Consider the following 26,527-nt stretch of genomic DNA (forward strand, 5'->3'; position numbering starts at 1 on the left):
TACTCACCATTCCACCATGCTGCTTCCTGGAAATGTGTTATAATATTCTATATGCCCACCAACAAGAATGACAGAGAAATCTTCCTAGACCTGCTGCTTATAAAAGTGGGGAAGAATAGTCCAAAGTGACTTGTACTTATGGGTATGAGGCAGAACGCTGACCCTTAAGAAAACGTGACTGCATATTGAGAATACAGAATAAACAGAAGGCAGCAAGTAAAGTACTCTTACATAAAATGCAGCAAGGATGTACAAGTTGCCCAAGGAAGGTTCAGCCTAGGAAGAGAATATGACTCATTATTTGTCAGTAATATACAAGCATCACTGAGGACACTTATGTTTGGAAATTCTTTACAGAAATTTTATTTGAGATCTCAAGTCCTTATAAAAAGTGCATTACATCAAGATTGCAAAAGACACTTTTTAAATGAGAGACTTCTATCTACTCATCCATTTTACCCTATGATTCATTTCCTACCCTAACAGAAATGATGAAACAGTTTTTCTTTCTTCCTTTTCTTCCTCCTGCTTTGAAAGGGCAACTGTCATGAGGGATATCTTAACAGAATGTGCCAATTAATCCTTGCCAGGAGAGCAGTAGCTTCCTACTGGCTAAATTTAGAGAGCCCTTGGCATTCCTTTTGGTGTGGCTCAAAGATTATTACAAGCTGAATCTAAAAGATTGCAACCTACTACTTGCAATCTGTCTCCCTGGGCTCCTCTTTTACTCACAAACTCCACTCTAAAACAACCTTAAATTTTAAGCACTCAATAATTGCTTTAGAAATGAAGGGATCTAAAGTTAATTACCTTACCCTTGCAACTATTTTCTGTATAAGAATCTCAAAGTTAATAAAAATTATACAGATGAAGAATGACCTAATACTAAGAAGGGGATGAATTCTGAGAGCAAATACATTTTACAACCCTTGTCTCAAAATAAGATCAATCCTACAAAATACAAAATGTTAAGAATACAATTTACACAGTAAAAATGATTTGATTTGTTTTCAGTATGAAAGTACTTTTAATTTCTTTACTGCAGGTACAATGGCATCCAAGTCATCAATTTCTGTAATACAAAAACAGTAATAATAAAAGAGAGTAACTTTTTCTAGTGGTAAACTCACATGAAACAAGAACCTATATGCAAAGGCAAACCCCAAACATAAAGGCAATAATACTGGTGCTTTTGTGCACATGAAGTTTTTCTCCGATAGTGATGATAGATTATCACTGATTCGGATACAGATGCTTCACAGGGGCTCTGTTTATATAAGTTACCACATACCCACAAGTACCCTCTGATTCTAGTATTAACTTCATTAGCAGCATGTCCTTATTAACAGATCCAACTGCCCACATGTGTGATATGTTAGTGTCTCATTAGATCTGTATCACTACACGGGTGCATCTACATGATGAAATCCCAGGTAGAGGCGTCTCCTCCCTAGGTCTCCACGTGAGGACTTAGGAATTTCTTCTCATAGAACAGTCTTGTCCTCTTTAATTTTCTTGGGAAGATTTCTTAGTAGTGGATCACTCTAAGATGAAAGGTATCTGCCAGCTGGGTGCAGTGGCTCATGCCTATAATCCCAGCACTTTGGGAGGCCGAGACGGGAAGATCATCTGAGGTCAGGAGTTTAAGACCAGCCTGGCCAACACGGTGAAAACCCACCTCTACTAAAAATACAAAAATTAGCTGGGTGTGGTAGTGGGCACCTGTAATCCCAGCTACTTGGGAAGTTGAGGCAGGAGAATTGCTTGAACCCCAGAGGCAGAGGTTGCAGTGAGCTGAGATTGCGTCACTGCACTCTGGCCTGGGTGACAGAGAGCAAGACTATGTCTCAAAAAAAACAATTATCTGCCTAATCAAAAAGATAGCCTCATCGAGTGTACAAACCTCAAGTACAATATATTATAGAGCTTAGCCTGGTCCAGCTTACCAGATAAACCAATCCAGGCTCTTTTTTGACAGGCTCTTTCTGAATTTGATTTTTCTTCCTAAGACTATCTTATTCCAACCAGCCTAAGTTAGAATTCACTCTCTGAAGCTCCTGGCCACCAAAGGAGCAAAATCCTTTTTCTCATTATCCAGATCCCAGCCCTACTTAAGGTAAGCCACAATGGCAGGTTCTCTAGATACCCACACTTTTTTCTAGCTTATTCTGTTAAGCCATCATTAATAAACGCGTTCCCTTACATAAAGCATGCTTTCTTGGATTCCAACTCTCTCCATTGTGTAGCTGGATCTTGGTTGCTCTTCACTTAGCCTACACACATAGCCCATGCTCTCCTACTATTCATTTAGTTCTTTTAAGCTCCCGACTTCAGTCAGAATACTTGTCTGAACCCACTAACAAAGCATCAAGATATGGGAACAGAAACAATATAAGCAAACCTACAACAGAGAATTTGTTTACAATTCCCTTACATTGTGGTAAGGTACAAGATCAAGGTATTCCCTGACTCCGCCCCCTGCCCATTCTGAAATTACACCTGTTTTCTCATTAAGTGAGAAACCTGCCTTACAAATGAACCTCACAGCAAAGGACCTTGGCCGATATGGGAATTTCCTCAGTCAATCACACCATTTACATGAGAAAAAGAATGGATTGTTTTTTTACTCACTAAAGGTACTCTCCATGTCTGTTACTCAGTATGCCACCCTGCACCTACATGCTTAGTGACACCTATTAATTAAAAAAACTGTCATGTTTGCCAGATTTAACTTTCCCAATGTTAATGTTTAACACCAGAACTTCAACTTTGACCAAATTACAGAATTCATCTCCAGAGAAACCTGGCTTTCTGAAGCAAATGATCTTTATGAACCATGCTGAGTGTCATAATATCTGAAAGGAAGTTTCTATAGAAGCATTCTGAAATAAGTGTTACCAGCACACCCTATTAAAATATGTTTATTAATGTGCCAAATATTTATGAATGATGAGAACATCACTGCTTAAGTTAATAGCAATCCCAAAGCAAGAATCATATTATTCTATGAAACCAGGCTCTTCAGGATATCAGACAACACACTTATACAGTTTCATACCTCATCTCAAGTTTAACTTTCAAATTACATTTTCACTTGCTGTGATCTTTTTAAACATGAGGACAAGCCTAAAGCAAGCTCACTCATTGTCTCCCTTGCTTCCCCACTGCACATAAGACTGGTCACAAAACTTCCTTTATGTTCAGTAGGCTATATATTCTAATTAGATACTTCTTTCACTTATTCTTCTTATCAAGTTTTCATTGACTCATTCCCTTATTTTCATACCAAGCTTCATCTCCTCTTCTAAAAGCAAAGAGCCATTCTTTAAAAAAAAAAAAAAATCTTTCAAATGAGCTATACAGAAAAAATTCACTGGTGAATACATCACTTTAAAACTTTAAAAATCATTCTTAATAGTAAGATAAATAATTTTATAGCCATATGTAATTATATTTAAACTAGATAAGGTCTCTATTTTGCCTTATGAGTCCTAAGCAAATTTTTTCCTTTTAGGAGACACTACTACTAATGAAGCCCTCAATCTGACCCTCAGTATAAGTGTAATATTTCATCTTTTCCTTTCCACAGATATTTATGACTTTATGTTACTTCATATAACCAGAGAGGAAATATTATTTGTATATTTAAAAAATTTTGTAGATAGGTGGTATCTTAAGAAAAAAAAAGGAGGGAGGAAGGACCTTCTAAGATCATAAATCCTAAGAATATTTCTCATTAGACAATGACAGAGCCAGGGTTAAACTAGGCATGGACAGAATGATGCCATCTCTCATGATAAGGTCCTCCAACAAAGGTAGTTCCTATTGCTGTTAAGGGTCTGTGTTTCTGTTCTATGGACTAATCCAAACAAACTCTAACTGCTTGTAAGGAATGTGTTTCCAGAACTGTTAGTGGTTTCCAACCACTAGGTAAAAATACTAATCCAGTGACCAAGGAACACCCTTTTCTTAAATGCACTGACATTTTAAGACTCAAAATTTCACCATCACCACCAGAGATCTTACCTAAGATTTCAAGTAGATCATTAGTAAATGCCTGAAATGCTGGGAAAAATTCCTCGTGTTCTTCCAATTTGTAGATAATGCTGTTTAAAAAATGCACAATTTAAACCTGATTTCTAACTTTGGGTTCTTGCATCTGATTGCAAACAGAACATTTTCAAAATAGAAACTATATTGCTAATTTAAATATAAACTTAATGATCATTTACTACAGTCTTTTCTTTCTGAGCTTTTTGTTAATCCAATATCACTTTTCTTAAAAAAGCATTTCAATATCAATGTAAAATTTGTTAAATTCATATATAACATTCTTTTTTTTTTTTTTTTTGAGACAGAGTCTTGCTCTGTCACCCAGACTGGAGTGCAGTGGCGCTGTCTCGGCTCACTGCAAGCTCCGCCTCCCGGGTTCACGCCATTCTCCTGCCTCAGCCTCTCGAGTAGCCTCCTGTAGTGCCTGCCACTACGCCCGACTAATTTTTTGTATTTTTAGTAGAGACGGGGTTTCACCGTGTTAGCCAGGATGGTCTCAATCTCCTGACCTCGTGATCCGCCCACCTCGGCCTCCCAAAGTGCTGGGATTACAGGCGTGAGCTACCACGCCCAGCCAATATACAACATTCTTAACATGGCAAATTTCCCATTAAGCTCAAGGCTTCTTAGATCATGCTTTTACAGCATTTTCTAAAAATAATTGGCTTTTACACCCAGTATCCTATTAAACATTAAGAAAAAATATCAGGCTGGGCACAGTGGCTCATGCCTGTAATCCCAGCACTTTGGAGGCCAAGGCAGGAGGATCACTTGAGGTCAGGAGTTCGAGACTAGCCTGGCCAACATGGTGAAACCCCACGTCTACTAAAGTACAAAAATTAGCTGGGTGTGGTAGCGCATGCCTGTAACCCCAGCCACTCAGGAGGCTGAGGCATGAGAATTGCTTGAACCTGGGAGGCGGAGGTTGCAGTGAGCTGAGACTGAGCCACTGCACTCCAGCCTGGGCAACAGAGTGAGACTCTGTCTCAAAAAAAAAAGAAAAGAAAAAAAGAAAAAAAATCAGTAGTCAGTAAAACTGTGGGAAGGAAGAAATAGGCCAATAGCAAGATATATGTTCCTTTTAAAAGCACCAAGTGTCAGATTATGTAAGGGTTCTTCTAGGAAAACTTGCAAAACATATGGTTTATGTGGTATATATTGTGTGTTTCCCTTCACATATGCTGTAATATAAAATTGGGGGTCAGGTGTGGGGAAAGTTGCTTTAACTATAGCTACAATGTCTTGATATTTTCTAAAAATACCAGCTTTTATGTTATAGATGCCTAGTCTTTTAAAAACTCCTCAACATTTATCTTCTAATCAAATAAATATACTATTAATGATTATTCAGTGGTCTATGGTAGTGTCCTAAAAATAGAACTTATTGATATAATCAGAACTTACATGATGTTGCTAACAAGGTTTGAATTTCTCCATATATAATATTTCCTGAAAACAGGCTTATGCTGAAGAGTACCTGACCTTCTTTATAGGCCTTACAATCTATTTTTATCTTGAAAATATTTGGCATTTCCTCCATCCCTAAGGGTTTGAGATTATCTTAGATTGTCAAGTTACTTAAAAGATGCTATTCCAAGGCTGGGCATGGTAGCTCACACCTGTAATCCCAGCACTTTGGGAGGCCAAGGCAGGCGGATCACTTGAGCCCAGGAATTTGAGACTGGTCTGGGCAACATGGTGCAACCTTGTCTCTATCTCTCTCTCTACACACACACACACACACACACAAATTAGCTGGGCGTGGTGGCGTGTGCTTACAGTCACACACACACACAAAAGATGCTATTCCAAACAGGGAAGGTAAATAAGTTTTGAAAGTCTTTAATTTCACCCCTCCAGGAACTCTCGATAATACTTATTTTAATTTTTATTGTTTAGAGACAGGGTCTCACTGCCTTGCTCAGACTGGACTTAAACTCCTGGGTTCAAGTGATCCTCCCACATCAGCCTCCCAAGTAGCTGGGACTACAGGCGTGTGCCACCACACCCAGCCATTCTGGATGATACTTTGTAAACTTTTAAAACAAATACCTCTGGAGGTCTTCAGGTCCTAATACCTGCATAACCTGCTCATTCACATCTTCATTAATCAGCCTACAGAGTTTTCCAACAGTGCTTACTAGCACACACAATGAGGATGAACTATCTGCAAAAGAGAAATAAAAGGATATTTTAACAGAGAATTTCCAAAATTACATACATCAAACATTTTATGCTTCAGTTATCCTCAATTTTTCACTTAAACATTTTTTAATCTACTTTTTGTTAATTTATTAAAAATTCTTAAATGGGGGCCCAAAATGACAAATTAGGTCATCACCTAATTCTAAGAGTTCTTGGAGGTTTCTCACAGCATTGTTCATTTCTCCAAGCCTAGTATAAACTTCATTCATTCGGGGATAGACTCCATTTAAAGAAGGCACATCAAATAACTTTTGGAAGTGAGAAACAATAGCTTGCAAAGTTTGAAAGTGTGGCATATTGCTGTCCTGTCCAAAAAAGAGGTAAAAAAGAAAGAGTTCATTATCTTAAAATAATCCCAAATAAAAACTTTTAAAAGACAAATAGAACTCTAGTAGAACAAATATCAATATCCACAATTTATCAGTTTTTGAGATAAGAAACATTAGAAGGTGACCGTTCATGTAGGTATTACCTTTTCCTTATTTTCAACTTCTTCCAGCATAGTATCTACTATAAACAACAAATCTTCAACTTTGATACCTTCATTTTCATCCTGCTTCTTCAAATTAAGCCAAGGTACCAGTTCTGCAGATAGTGTTTTCAAGGACTTATACAAATCCTTTATAACAAAAGAAACTATATGGTATTATTGATTTAAATAATTTCTATAGTAACATAATAGAACATAATTAGTAAAATTATAAGTTTTATATATTATATGTTTTATAAAATTAATAAAACATAATTACACAGGTTAAAAAAATATATATGTAACCATCATTTTTTTTAAATAAAAATACTACTACCAATTTAGAACAAGTCAGTTAAAATTAGGTTTCTCCAGGTAAACACAGGCTTTACAGAAAACATTATATATTGATTATTCTGAATCTGAGTGCTCTAAGTAATTTTATGTTATTTATTATTGTTCCATAATATTTCATTATTTTGAATTGTTGATACACAAAGAATAAACTTGCCCTTGAATTTTGGTTTTGAATATGTTATATAACAGCTTTATTGAGATGTAATTCATATACCATAAAATTTACCCTAAGTATACAATTCAGTAGTTTTAATATTTTCACACATGTACAAACATCAGCACTATCCAATTTCAGAACATATTCATTACTCCAAAAAGAAATCTCAGACCCACTAAGAGTCCTTCCTTCCCCATTTTCCCTTCCCTGCAGCTCCTAGGGTTAATCTCTAAACTATTTTCTGTTTCTATGGATTTGCCTATTCTAGGCATTTTGCATAAAGGGAATTATACAATAAGTAGTCTTTTATGAATGACGTCTCTCACTTAGCATAATGTTTTTAAGATTTATCCATGTTATAACATGTATCTCCAGGCAAGTTTTTAATGTGAAAGGTTCCCTAAATGTATTCTACATTATAATACTCCACTTAGTTTTCTTGGCCTAGTTGTGGTGCCCTAATTGATTTTAAACTGTGCACAATGGGCAAGGCTACTGAAAGTTTAGAGCTCTAGACTGATCAATCGACAAATATTTAGAATTCCTAGTCCGAAAATCTGAAATGCTCCAAAATCTGAAACTCTGAGCAACAACAGGACACTCAAAAGAAATGCTCATTGGAGCATTCTGAATTTCGGATTTTTGGATCAGTGATGCTCAAATGGCATATATTCTGCAAATACTCCAAAATCTGAAAAAATTCTTAATCAAAATACTTCTAGGCCCAAGCACTGTGGATAAGGGATACTCAATCCATATGTGTATGGCACAGCGCTTGGTCCTTTAGAACAACGCTGTCCAAAAGAAATGTAATGTGAGCCACAGTAATTTTAAGTTGTCTAGGGCCATAGTATGGAAAGTGAAAAGAAACATGTGATATTAACTGTACTAGTATATTTTATTTAACCCAATATATCCAAAATATTATCATTTCAATATAAAATCAATTATTTTAATTTTTCCCATACAAAGTCTTCTAAATCCAGTGTATATTTTACACTTATAACACATCTGAATTAGGACTAGCCACCTTTCAAGTGATCAATAACCACATGCAGCTAGAGGCTACCATACTAGACAGCACAGCTCTAGAGAACAGAAAGAAGTACAAGAAGTTCCTCCTTTTTCTAACTTATTTTAGTACTTCACTTGACACTCTCCACTTAAGGCTCAGACTTCACATATTGGTATCTTTAACCTTTCAATTGGTAGGAAGGCAGTTACTATTTTAGTAATTCATAGCAATAAATTCCATGTCAAATGAATGTTTTACAATCAATGCCACTAGAATTTGAAAAAAAAAAAAGTCAGCAAGTAACAGCATAATGATACCTTTATTAACCAATGCTCCAGGAACAAGGCACATTTATAAAGTAATCTATGGTAAAAAGCATACCCAATCTAATACATTTTTGCTTCAGAATAAAAGAGTATTACAAAGCTAAGAAGAAAAGATGTTCTGGTCTCCTAAGCAGTGACAGGATGGTTGTAGCACAGTCCATCAAGTAAGCTCTGAAAAATATAAGAGGGTCTCCTAGGTTCTTTACATTGCCCAGTTGTGGAGATGTAGAAGTACTACCATGAGCCAGCCTACCGTGTACGTCTGGCCTCTGAAGCACTGGAGAATAGCAAAGCAAAAGTATTCAAGAGTGTACTGGGTTGGGGAAAGCTACAACATCTGTAGTTCACCTTTCTTGGAAAGGCAGGAGGGAAAAGACACAAGGCTGGAGGCAGCTGGCTCCATGTCTTTCCCAGCCTTCTTTTCTTCCAATTTTTAAAACTAGTAAAATACCCATAAAATTCACCATCTTAACAATTTTTAAATGTAAGTTCAGTGTTAATATGTTCATAATGTTGTGCAACCAACATCACCATCCATCTCCATAATTCTTTTCATCTTGTAACACTGAAACTTTATACCCATTAAACAATAACTTCCCATTTCCCTCCTCCCTCTAGCCATCACCACTCTACTTTGTCTCTATGATTTTCACTAAGTATCTCATACAAGTGGAATCATATAAGTGGAATCTTCTTGTGACTGACTTATTTCACTTAGCATAATGTCCTCATAATGTTCACCCATGTTGCAAGGGTCAGAATTTCTTTCCTTTTAATGGCTGAATAATATTGCAATATATGTATATACCACATTTTGCTTATCCATTCATCCCTCAAACCTATCTTACTCTTTAAAGCCAAATTTAACCTGAGGGAAAAAACTAATCTGGGAAGATGGTTGTCCCAAACTTAGAGGTTGCTACATATCAAATAACCTTTGATATGAGGCCTCAGAGAATCTCATGTAGTTTCTTAATTTGGACCCTGAAACTGTAGTATTAATATCTGAAGCACTGCTCAAAATCCATGAGTTACTCCAATGGCAGAAGTAACTAATTCTTAATAATTTCTTCTTGGGTGTCCTCAGAATATTCTAATTATAAAGCGAATTCCTTGCCTCCTCCTCCTCCTCAGAAAACCATACAATAGCAAGAACTCACCACCATGGCAAAGCCCTTCTTGGGGGCTACAATCAGAGTGTTCTCTTTCTCCTCCAGACTCTAGAGCACAAGTTATCTGCATCATTCACTCAGAACTTCAACCGGTAATCTATTTTTATGTCACTCATTTCCTTTAACGATATAAATGATTACATTTTGTTTCATATTTTTTAGTATATTTTGTCTAATTAGTCTGAATCTTGTGTTCATCCCATAATGGCTTAGCATGATAAACGATCAATAACTATCCATTAGTGTGATTCTTCCCTTTGTCTTCTTCCTCTTCTAGTCTTTTCTTCTAGGAAGGCTAGGGCTTTTTCTAGTCCATCCCTTCTGAGATGAAGAAAGGTGGAGTCAGCACTGTTTCCTCCTACTGGGAGAACCCTCTGACAGGCAGTGATTGAGGAAATACCATGATTTACACTATTACTAATTATTTTACACTCTTCTGAGATACAGACTGGAGGAACTCCGGTCTATAAAGTAAGTATATTAATCTAGCACTGTCACTCAATCAAAATGTTTATGTATTGTATAGCTCTGTCTGAGCCCTATATAAAAAGGGAAGTCGAAATTTAAAAAAAATTAACATCACCACCCCCAATTTTGTTGTCTTGGAATATAATATTCTGCTTCATTCCTTTTAACAAATATTAATTGAGCACTCATTCATCAGGAGGATCTTGGGGACATATCAGAACAAATAAAAACACTGTCTTCATGGAGCTTATACATTCTTAACAGATATCTTCTGCATCATTTGTACTTCATGTAATAAGACTTATGTTGCAAACACTGTTATTGAATCACATTTTCATTAACAGGCATATGCTATGTATTATATTAGTTACTAATAAATCTAAAGTGTAAAGGGCAAAGAAGTTAAATACTACTGATTTCAACTATTTACCTTTCAGCAAACTAGTTAACAAAAACTGAAAAAACCTGAAGCTATGCAATAAATACACAATAACTCTATAAATAAAATGTGGTCTTCCATGAAGAGATAGGATAGGGAAGGGTAGCGTTGGCTGCTAGCTTACTATCTGTTCTAGAGAATAAGCAGAAATGGAGATAAGCTCAGTTCTGAGAGACAGAAAATAAAGTGTGAAGAGAGAGAAAATATCCCCAATTATAATAAAATGAAGGATAAGACATTATATCTGAAGAGGGATAAGGGCCAGGAAAATCGCAGCATGGAGATATGAAAAGGAGGCAGATGAAGGTAGAACAGGGAAGGGCCTAGAAGTACAAAGTGGATCCACTATAGATTTTCAATAAGGAAACTAACCCCAAAATTTCTTGTTTGGTAGAATCTTAGAGGAGGTAAAGCTTACAGTAATGACAACATCAAATAGACAGTACCTAAAATAGATATGTAAGTAGGAAGATTTCGGTTTTAGATAATAAGCTTTTTTAGCTTTAGAGTTAACACACAAACAAAAAAATTAAACCCTATTTAATTTTTAGCCCTGAATTAAGTCCTATTAATAAAGCACATAGAGTCCAATAGATGTTCAAAGCATATAATCATAGTCAACCCCTTACCTTTAAGGATGTCAGTTGATCTGCCCACATTTCTATTACAGGAACAAGATGCTCAAATCCACAATCTTGAACAAGATCTTTATTAAAATTTTGGACTCCCCCTTTGGTCTGTTTATAAATTATTACTGGAGCTCTTGGATTGTGGATAATTGAATTGATGCTACACAGCACCTTTAAAAAAACATAGTGTATATAGTCAAAATATTTATCCTATGCCTACAAAGTTATATATTTTAAAGGAGTGCTTTATGTCTATATATATTATATACACATATTTCATTAAATATACAAAGAAAATTATCATAAGGAATTGGCTCATGCAATTATGAAGACTGACAAGTCCCAAGATCTGCAGTGAGTAAGCGAAGACCCAGAAAAGGTAATGGGTATTTGCAGTCCAAATGCAGGCAGACTGAGACCCCTGCAAGTGCTAATGTTTCAGTTTGAGTCTGAAGGCAAGAAAAAAACCAGTGTCCCATCTTGAAAGCAGTCAGGGAGGAGGAGCTCCCTCTTATTCAGCCTTTTGTTCTACTCAGGGCTTTGAATCATTGGATGAGGCCCACCCCATTAGGAAAGGCAGTCTGATTTACTAAAGTCTACTGATTCGGATGTCAATCTCATCCAGAAGCACCTTCCCAGACACATCCAGAATAATGTTTAACCAAATATCGGGCATCCTATGCCGCAGTAAAGTTGAAACAAAATTAACTATTACAAACACTACCTAGGTTCAAAAATTGTTAGTATTTTGCCATATTTGCTCACTATCTATATTTTTAGGTGAACCATTTGAAGAAACTCTTCACCCTCAAATAATAAAGCATGCATCTTTTAAAAGTAGGCATATTCTCCTACAAACTCACAAGAACATTATCAGACTATTTAAGGAAATTAACAGCAATCCCCAGGCTGAGTGTGGTGGCTCATGCCTGTAATCCCAGCACTTTGGGAGGTTGAGGCAGGAGGATCACTTGAGCCCAGGAATTCAAGGCTGCAGTGAGCTATGATAATGCACTTCAGCCTGGGCAACAGAGCAAGACCCTGTCTCCAAAAATAATATCATTGATGCCTGGATTGAATTTTAGGTATCTTAATATATTAAGATAGTATACTATTTGACTATAACCCTCTCCCCATAAGTGATGGGTTCTACCTTACATATCATCCGAGGAAAAAAAGGGAGACCTCAAAAAGCATGTTTAAAGAGAGAAGAATAAAGCCATTTCCTATTACCACCATCAAGTTCAGCCTATTTAATAAAAAGTTTCACAATATAAAGATAGCATTTTGCTCTTGAATCTTTGTCCCTGGTCATACTTCAAGATATAACTAATAGGCCTCCTGGTAATATGACTTAAGATGTTTATTACTTCAGATGTTTATTTAGAAGCTTTTTAAGTCCAAATTAGTATAATTCAATATTTCACTTCAAATTGATGTATGTATATTTGTTTTATATATTTATTTGACAGAGTCTCACTCTGCAGCCTAAGATGGAGTGCAGTGGTGTGAACGGAGCTCACTGCAGCGTTGAATTCCTGGGCTCAAGTGATCTTCCCATGTCAACCTCTCAAGTGCTAGGACTACAGGCACAAGCCACCATGCCCAGCTAATTAAATTTTTTTTTTTCTAGAGATGTGGTCTCACTATATTGCCCAGGCTGGTCTCAAACTCCTGCCCTCTAGCAATCCTCCTGCCTCGGTCACCCAAAGTGTTAAGATTACAGGCATGAGCCACCATACCCGGCTTGAATTCCCCTTTTAAAGGACAAAGCCTCTCAAATTGAGTCTCAGAAACAAAATGAAATCCAGTTATATACTGGTACAAGAAAGTCTAAAACAAAACAGTTTTCAGAAAGGTGCTTGGTTCCCATTTACAATAGCAATAAAAGTTATAAAATACCTAGGAAATAACAAGGTATTTCCTAACAAGAAATATGCAAGAGCTAAATTTAAAAATACACAACACTTTATTGAAGACTATAAAAGATGACCCTGATGAAAGTACATATTTCTGAATGTGATGATTCAAAAAGGTTAAGGTGTCATTTCTCCAAATATTAATCTATAAAGTCAATTCAATTTTAGTTCATCTCAATGAGATTTATTTTTTAATTTGAAAAACTGTTCATCCAGAAGAATAAATGTGCTAAAAATATAGCCAATAAAAAAAATTTTTTTAATGATAGGATACTTGCCTCAAAGGCTATTAAAACTTTTAACTATAGAAATTAAAATATGGAAATAGTTGAGAAATGCAACAGACTAGAGAATCTAAAAACAAATCTGTGCATATAAATGAATATGATCTATGATAAAATGTTATTTCAATAAAGTAGAGAAAAAAGTAGCGTATTAGAGACTGCAAACACAAATGCCCAGAGAATTCAGGTACGAGTATAAATGAGTGACGTAAGGATGAATAGGGACTGCTAACTATAGAACACATGCTCATATCTGACAAGGGAAAGGCCTAATTCTGCTGTGATAATAACCATGCAGGAATTTGTTGCCAGATCTTCTGACTTTTTAGGAGAAGTTAGAAATAGCAGCCTAGAAAAAATAAAATATCTTAATTTTTAAAAAAATGAATAATCTAAAACTTAAAAATCTTATGTGTACCCAATAAAATGTGAGTGAAAGTCCAGTTCAGTCACTAAACTACCAGGTTTAACTGCTCAGCTATTCAATAAATGATCTATAAAACTAGGAAGGTGAGATTCCCTATATCACACCATATAGAAAATTAAATTTCAGATGAACTAAGGTCTCTAAACAAAAACAAAAGCCATACAAGGACCCTAAGAAAATAGATTTACTTAATAATAATGGTAACAACAGAAACAATACGAGGGAAAATGGCTTACATGGGGAAAGTAGGGAAAAGGATTATAGAAACTTTTAAAAATCATAAAGCTCTTTACTAACCTCCTTTGAACTAGGCCAGAGTCTCTTTTAAGTAGTAAGACGAATTCTACAATGTTTTTAGTCAAATAGTTATGTCACGGAAAGACAAGACAGAATAAGTACACATAAATATGAGGTGCAAGTATTCCTTACCAACTGATAATTTATTACACCACAACTGATAACCAAGATTCATGACAAACATCAGTCTTTTTGTCATGAAAAATCAATTCAATACCTGAAAGTATCTCTGGTCAATTAGGGCCTGTTGCTGATTATATTTGCTGGGCTCATCTTTCTTCTCTGTGTCCTCAGCCTTCTTATGATTAATAAGCTCCTGTAATCTAAAAGGGGGAAAAAAATCAAGATAATACAAAATTACTTCCTAGACACTGGACCAAGATGATAAACTAAGTCAATGATCCAGCCACCCTCCCAACAGCCTTATATCACTTTACTTATATGTGTGTGTGCACACATGTATGTATGTGTATGTATAAACACATACATATATGCATATATAGAGTTAAAAAAAATTTTTTTTTTTTTTTGAGACAGAATCTCGCTCTATCACCCAGGCTGGAGTGCAGTGGCGCAATCTCGGCTCACTGCAAGCTCCGTCTCCCGGGTTCACACCATTCTCCTGCCTCAGCCTCCTGAGTAGCTGGGACTACAGGCGCCCGCCACCATGCCTGGCTAATTTTTTATATTTTTAGTAGAGACGGGGTTTCACCGTGTTAACCAGGATGGTCTCGATCTCCTGACCTCGTGATCCACCCACCTCAGCCTCCCAAAGTGTTGGGATTACAGGCGTGAGCCACCGTGCCCGGCCAGAGTTTAAAATTTTTTAAATCATATTGTCACTGGAAAACTAGAAGGCCCTCTCAATAAATCGCAAATTAGAAGGAATCTCTGAAGACAGAAGAGATCAGATTGAAGAAGAAAGTTCTAACCACCCCCCAGCACCCACAAAAGACAGCACAAGAGAGAAATACAACAAAGGATGGAAGCGACTTCCATCCAACGTGCTCCAAGATCACAGACTACAGATAAAGGGAGCAGGAAGCATGGGAAGGGCCACTGGTTTGGGTACTGTAGCAGGAACAGCTAGACGTTTGGTCCCTCTCTCTTTGTATTCTACCAGTGGCAAAGAACAGAAAATGGCAATGCCTGGGCCAGTCAAGAGGGCGTGGAGATCCAACAGACCATTATTCCAGGTGGCTACTAGAATGCTAGGGGAAAGGAGAGTCTCTTCACCCAGAAATACAACTATGTATAAGTGTATCCACCTAGTAGTAAACACTTGTCCTTCTCCAAATATCTAGAAGACAGGCTGTAGTAATCTTTCTTCTCCCTCCTCATGGCTTTGAAAACAGTACAGTAGTACACGCTGATCCGTAGTTTCATTTTCCATGGTTTTAGTTATGCAAGGTAAACCAGGGTCCAAAAATATTAAAAGGAAAATTCCAGTAATAAATAAGTTTTTTTATTTTATTTTTTTTTAATGCTCACTAGTCTGAGTAGTGTGATGAAATCTCATGCTGTCCCACTCCATCCCACCTAGGATGTGATTCATCCCTTTGTCCAGCTTATCCATGCTGTAACTGTATACATACACTACCTACCAGTTAGTCACTTAGTAGCCATCTTGATTATCAGATCAACTGTTGGGTACCACAGTGCTTATGTTCAAGTAACAATCCTTCTTTAACTTAATAATGGACCCAAAATGCAAGAGTAGTCATGTTAGCAATTTTGATGTGCCAAAGAGAAGTCATGAAGTGTGTCCTTTAAGTGAAAAGGTGAAAGTTCTCCACTTAAGAAAAAAAGTGTATGCTGAGGTTGCTAAGATATACAGTGAGAACGAATATTCTATCTGTGAAATTGTGAAGAAGGAATAAGAAATCTGGGCTAGTTTTGCTGTTGGACCTCAAACTGCAAAAGTTACAGCCACAGTGTGTGATACATGCTTAGTTAAGATGACCTCAGGATCACCTGAGGTCAGGAGATTGAGACCAGCCTGGGCAACATGGTGAAACTCCCTGTCTACTAAAAAAAAAAAAAAGAAAAACAAATACAAAACTTAGCTGGATATGGTGGCGCATGCCTGTAGTCCCAGCTACTCGGGAGGCTGAGGCAAAAGAATCGCCTGAACCTGGGAGGCAGGGGTTGCAGTGAGGTGAGATCGTGCCACTGCACTCTAGCCTGGGTGACAGAGTGAGACTCCATCTCCAAAAAAAAAAAGAAATACTGTGTTAGGACTAATGGCATGGAGAGTTTTGAATGCTAGCCCAAGGATATTAGATTTAGCACATAAAAAAATGAGAAATCATTGATTGTTTTTCAACAGGAAAATGACATGATGGAGTTTTACTATTCTATTTTACAAACAGCAGGCAGAGCGCATCGTTAATGAGTCATAGAGTCAGTTTAGTGGGTTGAAGTCCCAGCAGGAAACTGATGGCATACTCAAATTGAAGAGGGGTAATTTGAAGGATTATTACGAGACTACAGTAGTCCCCCCTTGTCAGTGGGGGATACATTGTTCCAGGATCCCCAGTAGATACCTGAGACCTCAGAACCAAACCCAGTTGCCATCAATTGGAACACATTTCTGTCCATGTCTTCCACCCACAAATTTAATGCTTTTTCCATCTTTTTTTTTTTTTTTTTTTTTTGAGACGGAGTCTCGCCCTGTTGCCCAGGCTGGAGTGCAATGGCACGATCTCAGCTCACTGCAACCTCTGCCTCCCGGGTTCAAACAATTCTCCTGCCTCAGCCTCCCAAGTAGCTGGGATTATAGGCACATGCCACCATGCCCAGTTTTTGTTGTTGTTGTTGTTTTTATTTTTAGTAGAAACGGTGTTTTACCATGTTGGCCAGGCTGGTCTCAAACTCCTGACCTTGTGATCCGCCCGCCTTGGCCTCCCAAAATGCTGGGATTACAGGAGTGAGCCACCGTGCCCCCCCAGTCCTAACACAGTATTTCTCCTGACTCCTTTCTTACTTGATTCTACTACTTCCCTACAATTACCTACACCAGTCACATATATTCCCCTTATATTCACTCAGTTGCTATTCTCTGCTTTCTAGTGAGTATATGCCCAAGCCAAATTATAAATGACTTCCTATTTACTACATTCACATTCTTCACAGTTTTGCCTAAAGGCAGTGCCATGAGCATATTATCTAGAACAAAAAAGGACACAGAAAAGCTGATATGGCCTCTAGAAGGACTAGACGTAAACTGATATATCTGAATTTAAATGTTACTTCCTTTCACTTAGGTGAAAATGTTCAACTTATCAATGAATTGTTTGCAAATCTGATTAATAAATGTTACACTGTAGATATACAACATTTTTACTGTCAGTGCAATAACCTAAATATATAATTGCATGTACTGATCAGTTACTCTGGGAAATGAAATGTGATTTCATTAACCAGATGAATAAATAGATACCCTCACTTAATAATGACAGTAACTACAACTTATTGGGAGCCTAATGATGATAACTAGTAGGTACTGAGAGCCTTCTCTATGCAGGAATTCTAAGCACTTTACATGTATTCACTCATTTAGTCCCATTGTTTTTCTATTTATATAAGACAATGATTAGTAAAAGCTGGGGACTCATAGGAAACTGGTTCACTTAGTCTCACAGAAAATATCTGCCATTAACAGTATTACTGAAAAACTTCACATTCTGCAAAATCATGCAAGTAATTAACAGGGCTCAGGAGAAAATAGTATTAGAAACCAGACTACTTACAACTGATGTAGCTTTAGAACTGGAGAATAAAAACAATAATTGGTGCCTCAGGAGTTAAGTTGGACAGATCAAGCATGTCTGGAGATTGCCTCAGGATATATTAAAAATGCACAGACAACAAAGAAGAAATGTTGGCTTATGGATGCCAAGACATAAAGACTGAAGTGGAGCCTTGGGCCAAAGAAGCTGAGGTTAAAATGGGCAAAGGAGGAAGTGCAACTTGCTTCCAGCCTATAGTCTGTCTAATGCTGGGGGTCAGGGAAGGAGCCCAGGGTACTGCTGCTCATTCTAAATTTTCTTAAACTAGAGCTAAAAAGGGCACTTGTCTATGTACTAGCAAAGCTTGCCCCTTTCCTGAAGGCTATAAATATTACTGCAGTTATTCTAGTGCCTTGAGTCTAGGAAAAACCACACATGAACAATATAACTTCTATGTTATATTGCTGATGATCCCCTCATTTTCTATTTACATGACTTAATTGGCATTTTAGAAACCTGTGTTGTAGCTGCCTGGACTGTACTCAGAAATACGCTAGAGCTGTTCTACAGTATCCAGAGCAGTCAGGAAGGGCCTGAAAGATAATAAAAATCCCCTAGGAGTGCCTAAGGGGTACTTCACATGCTTTGCAGACACTCATTCCATGTATTCAACAGCAGCAACTATGTTTTTTTGTGGACACTGAGAAAACAGAAAACTGTACCTCCAACTTAAAATATGCTGTTTTATCTATTTTGTATAGCCATCTCCATAAGATAACTTTCCATGTGCAGAAACTTTATAGCTTTTAACTGTGTTCTGTTGGAGCTTTTCCATGATCTCACAGTGGAATAAGATCCATGCTGGAGATCAGGAACAAGTTAAAAAAAAGGACTGCCAATTTTGTTTTTAAAAATTCCACTAATTTAGCTACATGCAAAACACATAGGTGCATCAATGTGAGCTTCTCAAAGCTATACTGTTCCCCGAGTCTTTTACCCTACAATCTTAGGACTTTCTAAGATAGTTAGTGATGAAAAGAAGGGTGGTTCACTTCAACCCAGCACCAGTGCCAAACTCTGAAGGCAAGTGTTTCTCTAGGTGAAAAGTCCAGCTCCTGGCTAAAATCCAATGTGTTATATTTCAGGCACAGCCACAGGTAATTACAAAGGCTCTGCCTGGAAGATCTCTTGCAGGGAAAGCTGTCCTCTCCACACCAGACATGATGCACAGCCTGTGCACTGCAATCTCTCGAGACAGTTGCAGTCAAGGACACGCCACCTCCTTTCCTTCCTGAAAGCTATACTACTACTACTACTGTTATTCTAGTGCCTTGCCACAAGCATTTCTGCATTCCTACCCTAGTCACCTGCATTAGGGGCCTCTTTACTTGGAGCTTAGACTGAGGCATGTGTCAAGTACCTCTATCCAAGATCTTCTTATTGGTGGAGAAGCCTTAATTAAAATACTTTTCTCCACTCTGACTCAGTACTTTTCTACTCCTAGCCTTTCTTCTCCCTACACTTTAAAATAGCAGGAATCTTTTGTGCAGGGCTCCTAGGCAGTGAGATGATTCCCCCCATCTGGGTGTATGTCAGACTGTTCCTCACCTGGTGCTATTCCATAGGGAAAAATGCAACACTGAAGAGTCAGCCCTTTTCATTTTGGCCTCTTGTTTATCCTATAGCAGTAAGTTAACAGTTTGACTGTTAATTTCACTTTGACTCATTGGCCTAACCACTTCAAGGACTGTCAGCTCAACACAGAGTGGCTGTAGGATTTTGTTTTTCCCCTAGCAAAACATAAATACTATTGAAAAATTAAATGAAATTAGTGTAGTACCTTTGTTTATCTTATAGGGACAGACTTATTTAATCACTTCCTAAGAAGGAAATTTTATAATCAGCCTGTTTGTAATACTAACTCAAGAAGAGTCCATGTTCTCCCACATTAAATTGTTAATAGCCTTATTTGACATTGAAAGTTGGTTAACTACAAATCTAAAAAAAAAAAACAAACAAACTCAATTTTCTCTGGTTCCAAAAGGAAAAGAGACTATACCCTCTTCCATTTTCTTGTAGCATTTCCTTTAGAAAATCTGTAACTACAAATCCTTTACTCTCTTTAAGATGTACATAAATCTTATTAAGAGCTAAAGAAGGCTCTTGCCAGTTTTGAATCTCAGCAATGTCTTTCTTGGGGGCTTTGGAATCATTTCTTTGAAATGTGAACATCTCGGAAGATGGTACCTTGTTTCCCTGTCTCTGTTGGAATTTCGTCAAGGCTCCTGGCCCCAAGTTGTAACCTCTTACTTATCAAAAAGACATTAGAAGTTTTTATTTTTCCTTTAATACAGATAATTAACATGTATATAATGGATTGTATCTGCCTTGCTATACAAAAGGGTGACATTTCTTTCTGTCTTTGCAATATCTCTAACAGATTGCCTGTAATGTGCATCACAATCTGATTGAATCTGATTGAATTCAGTAATAAAACTGTTTCTTTTTTTTCCTACGTTTGTAAAGAGAATTCACTGGATTGACAGGAGATTTTAGTTTTAATTATTTCCCCAGCATCAGTAGTACTTTGAAAAAATATTCTACCTCTGGCACTACAGAAATAAAAATTTTTAAAGTTTTACCTTGAAAAGTAAATTTTTTTAAGTTTTTAAAGTTTCTTTAATTTTAAATTTTTTAAGTTTAAGTTTTTAAAATCTTTTTTAAGTTTTGTTAAGTTTTACCTTGCAAAGTAAAATTTTTTTAAGTTTTACCTTGAAAAAATTTTTTTCATTGAGTGTTTTGTTTAGTTCTAACTGTATGGTAGCTAAGAGTATAAGTTTTGGAGTCAGAATGATTGGGTAAGGATCTGATTTCTGTTCAGTTCTTCCATATACCAGTAACCTGTATAACTTGGGCAAGTTATATAACACTCCCAAATTTGTTTCCATGTCTAGATACTACCAAAGTTTTAAACTTTATTAAAAACAAAAACACATCATTTCTTCAAAATTTAGCAGAAAAATATAGCAGGAATTGGGTCTGAATCATAATTTTAAAGGACAATAATAAAAGTCACTCGAAAGACCGGAGCCCAAATAAACAACAACAAGAACAATATATATATGCAATCAATTCTCATTATTCATGGTAGTTATGTTCTATAAAATCACTATGAATGCTGAATTAGCAAATACTGAACCACTGCTCCTAGAGGAAATACAGGGTCAGGGTCCTGCAAGTCTGGTCACATTTTCCTTAAATGATCAATATATAACCTTGTTGTCTGTATGTTTCTATTTAAAGACACCTTTAAAATATATATTTTTTTGATTCATTAACATTGAACTCATGGACAACAGCACTCTATAACTCATACCTGATAAAGCTTATCTAATAGGTGTATTTTTTCCACAAGGCATATTATAGCCTTCTTGTGGATAAGAACACCAAACAGCACTTCAGCACTAACTCAGAGGCCATCTTAAAGAAATCACCAACAAAAGGCATAGAAATGCAAAAAAAAAAAAAAAAAAAAAGTATCACTAAATAGATGGACAAAAGGACATTTGTTTATAGTATGAGAGCTCAAACAACAGGGCAGATCATCATCTTGTTTGAAAACTAAACATGTGTGTGTTGGGTGACCCAAATTATTTGCCACTGTGTACATGTCCATGAATGACTACAGGTGCTGTATGGATTTGTGATTATAAATAAATTTTAGCAGGTAGACAAATTCATAAATATGGAATCTATTAATAATGAAGACTATCTATCTCTACGTATGTGTAAGTGCATACACATGTGTACGTGTGTGTGTGCATGTTATACACTTGCTTTAGAGTCAACAGTCAATTCTCATTATTGCCTTCTCTTTTTACTTCCCTACATCCTCCTTCTCCTAGTTGCTTCTCTCTCAATCTCCTATCTCATTAGTGGCACTGACAACCACCTTGTTATTCAAGGTTAAAACTCGGGAGACTTCTGACTCTTCCTTTTCCCCCACAACTCCCTATATTCAACCCATCATGAAGTCCTATTAGTTCTACCTCCATTCTCCAATTCCAAATACTTCTCATCACCTCCACTACTGCCACCTTTGACCATGTCACTACCATCTCTTCTCCAAACTCATATAATGGCTACTCTCCCACGATTGTACGTTTAGTACTTATAGCATATCGAAATTGTCTTATTTTTTCATTATCTTTCTCCCTTCATGTAATCTCTATGAGGTCAGGGACCTTTTCTATTTTGTTTACCACTGCAACCAGTGCCTAGAATGCCAAACAGATGTAAGAAGAACTGTAAGTACACAAAATATCAAGGAATAGTAGGAAGGGAATAATTATTCATTGAATATGCATGCATCCTTTCTGAACCTTCCACTTCTCTTTTCTTGTTTAGTTTTCCTCCTCTATTATCTTTTTTTTGGGGGGACGGGGGGTGGAGGGACAGGGTCTTGCTCTGTTGCCCAGGCTGGAGTGCAGTGGTGTGATCACAGCTCACTGCAGCCTTGACCTCCTGGGCTCAAGCAATCTTCCCACCTCAGCCTCCTAAGTAACTGGGGCTACAGGTAAGTACCGCCACACCTGGCTAATTTTTAAATTCTTTGTAGAGACAAGGACTCACTACATTGCCCAGTCTGGTCTCAAACTCCTGGACTCAAGCAATCCTCCTGCCTCAGTCTCCCAAAGTGCTGGGATTACAGGCGTGAGCCACTGCACCTGGCCCCTATTATTTTAACCCAGTATGTAATTCCTGGATACTCATGATACTTGCCTGTCACTGTGTTATGTGTTGCCATAGGAAGGAGGAAACAGAGCTGTCGCTGAAAACTGAATCATATATGCTAATACAACTGACTTAATATATTTAATGCATATATTAACTCATAGCTTTCAAAATATGTCATCCCAACACTCCCCACTTTCTCAAATCCCATTCCCTTGAATCAAAGAGTACACATAGATAATCTTCAGAAAACACAATCACTGAGATCAACTCTTTGAAACACTGAGCACTTGCTTTTCAAAGTCAGGAAGGGTACAAGCAGTAGATATAAATGGCTCACTGCATTCCTTCTGGTACTTTTAAAGTGTGATAACGCTCACTTTAAAACATTCAGATCATAATTATCAACAGCAAAAATTGGAGGCTTGTCACTTCTAATTTCATTGATTCTCTTGCAATTCTTCCATTACTTCCCAAGATAATTTTCTATTTAAAATCTTTGTCCTTTATTACTTTAGGCAACTACCTTTTTTGTTCTCACTTAAATATATAGCCAAATCCAGCATGGTAGAAATTGCTCTTAAACTGTGAAACCAGAAACACCCCCTTTTAATGTCATTTTCCCCATCAGCCTGGTAGGTCCAAGCCAAAGCCACTAGTAGGTAGCATAAGCTGACATGTAATAAAAATAAATAAAATAAGGCCAAGCGCGGTGACTCATGCCTGTAATCCCAGCACTTTGGGAGGCAGAGGCGGGTGGATCACGAGGTCAGGAGATCCACACAGTGGCTAACACAGTGAAACCCCGTCTCTACTAAAAATACAAAAAAAAATTAGCCAGGGGTGGTGGCAGGTGACTGTAGTCCTAGCTACTTGGGAGGCTGAGGCAGGAGAATGGCGTGAGCCCAGGAGGCAGAGCTTGCAGTGAGCTGAGATTGTGCCACTGCACTCCAGCATGGGCGACAGAGCAAGACTCCGTCTCAAAAAATAAATAAATAATAAAAATAAATAGGGGTGGAGCCAAGATGGCCAAATAGGAACAGCTCCAGTCTACAACTCCCTGCATGAGCAACGCAGAAGACGGGTGATTTCTGCATTTCCAACTGAGGTACGAGGTTCATCTCACTGGGGAGTGTCGGAAAGTGGGTGCAGGACAGTGGGTGCAGCGCACCGAGCGTGAGCCGAAGCAGGGCAAGGCATCGCCTCACCCGGGAAGCACAAAGGGTCAGGGAATTCCCTTTCCTAGTCAAAGAAAGGGGTGACAGACAGCACCTGGAAAATCGGGTCACTCCCACCCTAACACTGCACTTTTCAAACACCCTTAGCAAACAGCACACCAGGAGATTATATCCCGCACCTGGCTTGGAGGGTCCTACGCCCATGGAGCCTTGCTCTTTGCTAGCACAGAAGTCTGAGATCAAACTGCAAGGCGGCAGCGAGGCTGTGGGAGGGGCGCCCGACATTGCTGAGGCTTGAGTAGGTAAACAAAGCGGCCAGGAAGCTCGAACTGGGTGGAGCCCACCGCAGCTCAAGGAAGCCTGCCTGTCTCTGTAGACTCTAGCTCTAGGGGCAGGGCATAGCCAAACAAAAGGCAGCAGAATCCTCTGCAGACTTAAATGTCCCTGTCTGACAGCTTTGGATAGAGTAGTGGTTCTCCCAGCTCGCAGCTGGAGATCTGAGAACTGGCAGACTGCCTCCTCAAGTGGGTCCCTGACCCCCGAGTAGCCTAACTGGGAGGCACCTCCCAGTAGGGGCAGACTGACATCTCACACAGCCGGGTACTCCTCTGAGACAAAACTTCCAGAAGAATGATCGGGCAGCAACATTTGCTGTGCACCAATATCCGCTGTTCTGCAGCCTCTGCTGCTGATACCCAGGCAAACAGGGTCTGGAGTGGACCTCCAGCGAACTCCAACAGACCTGCAGCTGAGGGTCCTGTCTGTTAGAAGGAAAACTAACAAACAGGAAGGACATCCACACCAAAACCCCATCTGTACATCATCATCATCAAAGACAAAAGGTAGATAAAACCACAAAGATGGGGAAGAAACAGAGCAGAAAAACTGGAAACTCTAAAAATCAGAGCACCTCTCCTCCTCCAAAGCAATGCAGCTCCTCACCAGCAATGGAACAAAGCTGGACGGAAAATGACTTTGACGAGTTGAGAGAAGAAGACTTCAGAAGATCAAACTACTCCGAGCTAAAGGAGGAAGTTTGAACCCAAGGCAAAGAAGTTAAAAACCTTGAAAAAAAATTAGACGAATGACTAACTAGAATAACCAATGCAGAGAAGTCCTTAAAGGACCTGATGGAGCTGAAAACCAAGGCACGACAACTACATGACGAATGCACAAGCCTCAGTAGCCGATTCGATCAACTGGAAGAAAGGGTATCAGTGATGGAAGATCAAATGAATGAAATGAAGTGAGAAGAGAAGTTTAGAGAAAAAAGAATAAAAAGAAATGAACAAAGCCTCCAAGAAACATGGGACTATGTGAAAAGACCAAATCTACGTCTGATTGATGTACCTGAAAGTGACGGGGAGAATGGAACCAAGCTGGAAAACACTCTGCAGTATATTATCCAGGAGAACTTCCCCAATCTAGCAAGGCAGGCCAACATTCAAACTCAGGAAATACAGAGAATGCCACAAAGATACTCCTCGAGAAGAGCAACTCCAAGACACATAATTGTCAGATTCATCAAAGTTGAAATGAAGGAAAAAATGTTAAGGGCAGCCAGAGAGAAAGGTCGGGTTACCTACAAAGGGAAGCCCATCAGACTAACAGCTCATCTCTCAGCAGAAACTCTACAAACCAGAAGAGAGTGGGGGGCAATATTCAACATTCTTAAAGAAAAGAATTTTCAACCCAGAATTTCACATCCAGCCAAACTAAGCTTCATAAGTGAAGGAGAAATAAAATCCTTTACAGACAAGCAAATGCTGAGAGATTTTGTCACCACCAGGCCTGTCCTACAAGAGCTCCTGAAGGAAGCAATAAACATGGAAAGGAACAACCGGTACCAGCCACTGCAAAATCATGCCAAATTATAAAGACCGTCGAGGCTAGGAAGAAACTGCATCAACTAACGAGCAAAATAACCAGCTAACATCATAATGACAGGATCAAATTCACACATAACAATATTAACCTTAAATGTAAATGGGCTAAATGCTCCAATTAAAAGACACAGACTGGCAAATTGGATAAAGAGTCAAGACCCATCAGTGTGCTGTATTCAGGAAGCCCATCTCACATGCAGAGACACACATAGGCTCAAAATTAAGGGATGGAGGAAGATCTACTAAGCAAATGGAAAACAAAAAAAGGCAGGGGTTGCAATCCTAGTCTCTGATAAAACAGACTTTAAACCAACAAAGATCAAAAGAGACAAAGAAGGCCATTACATAATGGTAAAGGCATCAATTCAACAAGAAGAGCTAACTATGTTAAATATATATGCATCCAATACAGGAGCACCCAGATTCATAAAGCAAGTCCTTAGAGACCTACAAAGAGACTTAGACTCCCACACAATAATAATGGGAGACTTTAACACCCCACTGTCAACATTAGACAGATCAACGAGACAGAAAATTAAGAAGGATATCCAGGAATTGAACTCAGCTCTGCACCAAGCGGACCTAATAGACATCTACAGAACTCTCCACCCCAAAGCAATAGAATGTACTTTCTTCTCAGCACCACACCACACCTATTCCAAAATCGACCACATAGTTGGAAGTAAAGCACTCCTCAGCAAATGTAAAAGAATAGAAATTATAACAAACTGTCTCTCAGACCACAGTGCAATCAAACTAGAACTCAGGATTAAGAAACTCA

The 26,527-nt window shown here is 38.0% G+C and overlaps 1 protein-coding gene across 24 annotated transcripts in view; it reads right to left on the minus strand.

Moving 5' to 3' along the window:
- Positions 1–339: 339 nt before the first annotated feature.
- CEP70 (centrosomal protein 70) overlaps positions 340–26,527 on the minus strand; it is a 99,917-nt gene continuing 73,729 nt past the window's right edge. For 7 of the 24 annotated variants that reach the window (NM_001288967.2, NM_001288965.2, NM_001288964.2 and 4 more), the window contains 7 exons: positions 14,435–14,540; positions 11,291–11,461; positions 6,731–6,877; positions 6,395–6,563; positions 6,106–6,220; positions 4,027–4,106; positions 340–1,072 (listed from right to left, as the gene is read on the minus strand). In NM_001288967.2, coding sequence (NP_001275896.1) covers positions 1,011–1,072; positions 4,027–4,106; positions 6,106–6,220; positions 6,395–6,563; positions 6,731–6,877; positions 11,291–11,461; positions 14,435–14,540 — 850 coding nt within the window. In that variant the 3' untranslated portion in view covers positions 340–1,010. The other 17 variants (XM_047449022.1, XM_047449019.1, NM_001320599.2 and 14 more) reach the window with 8 other exon arrangements.

This window comes from Homo sapiens, chromosome 3 (genome assembly GCF_000001405.40).
Source record: "Homo sapiens chromosome 3, GRCh38.p14 Primary Assembly".
Taxonomy (NCBI): domain Eukaryota; kingdom Metazoa; phylum Chordata; class Mammalia; order Primates; family Hominidae; genus Homo; species Homo sapiens.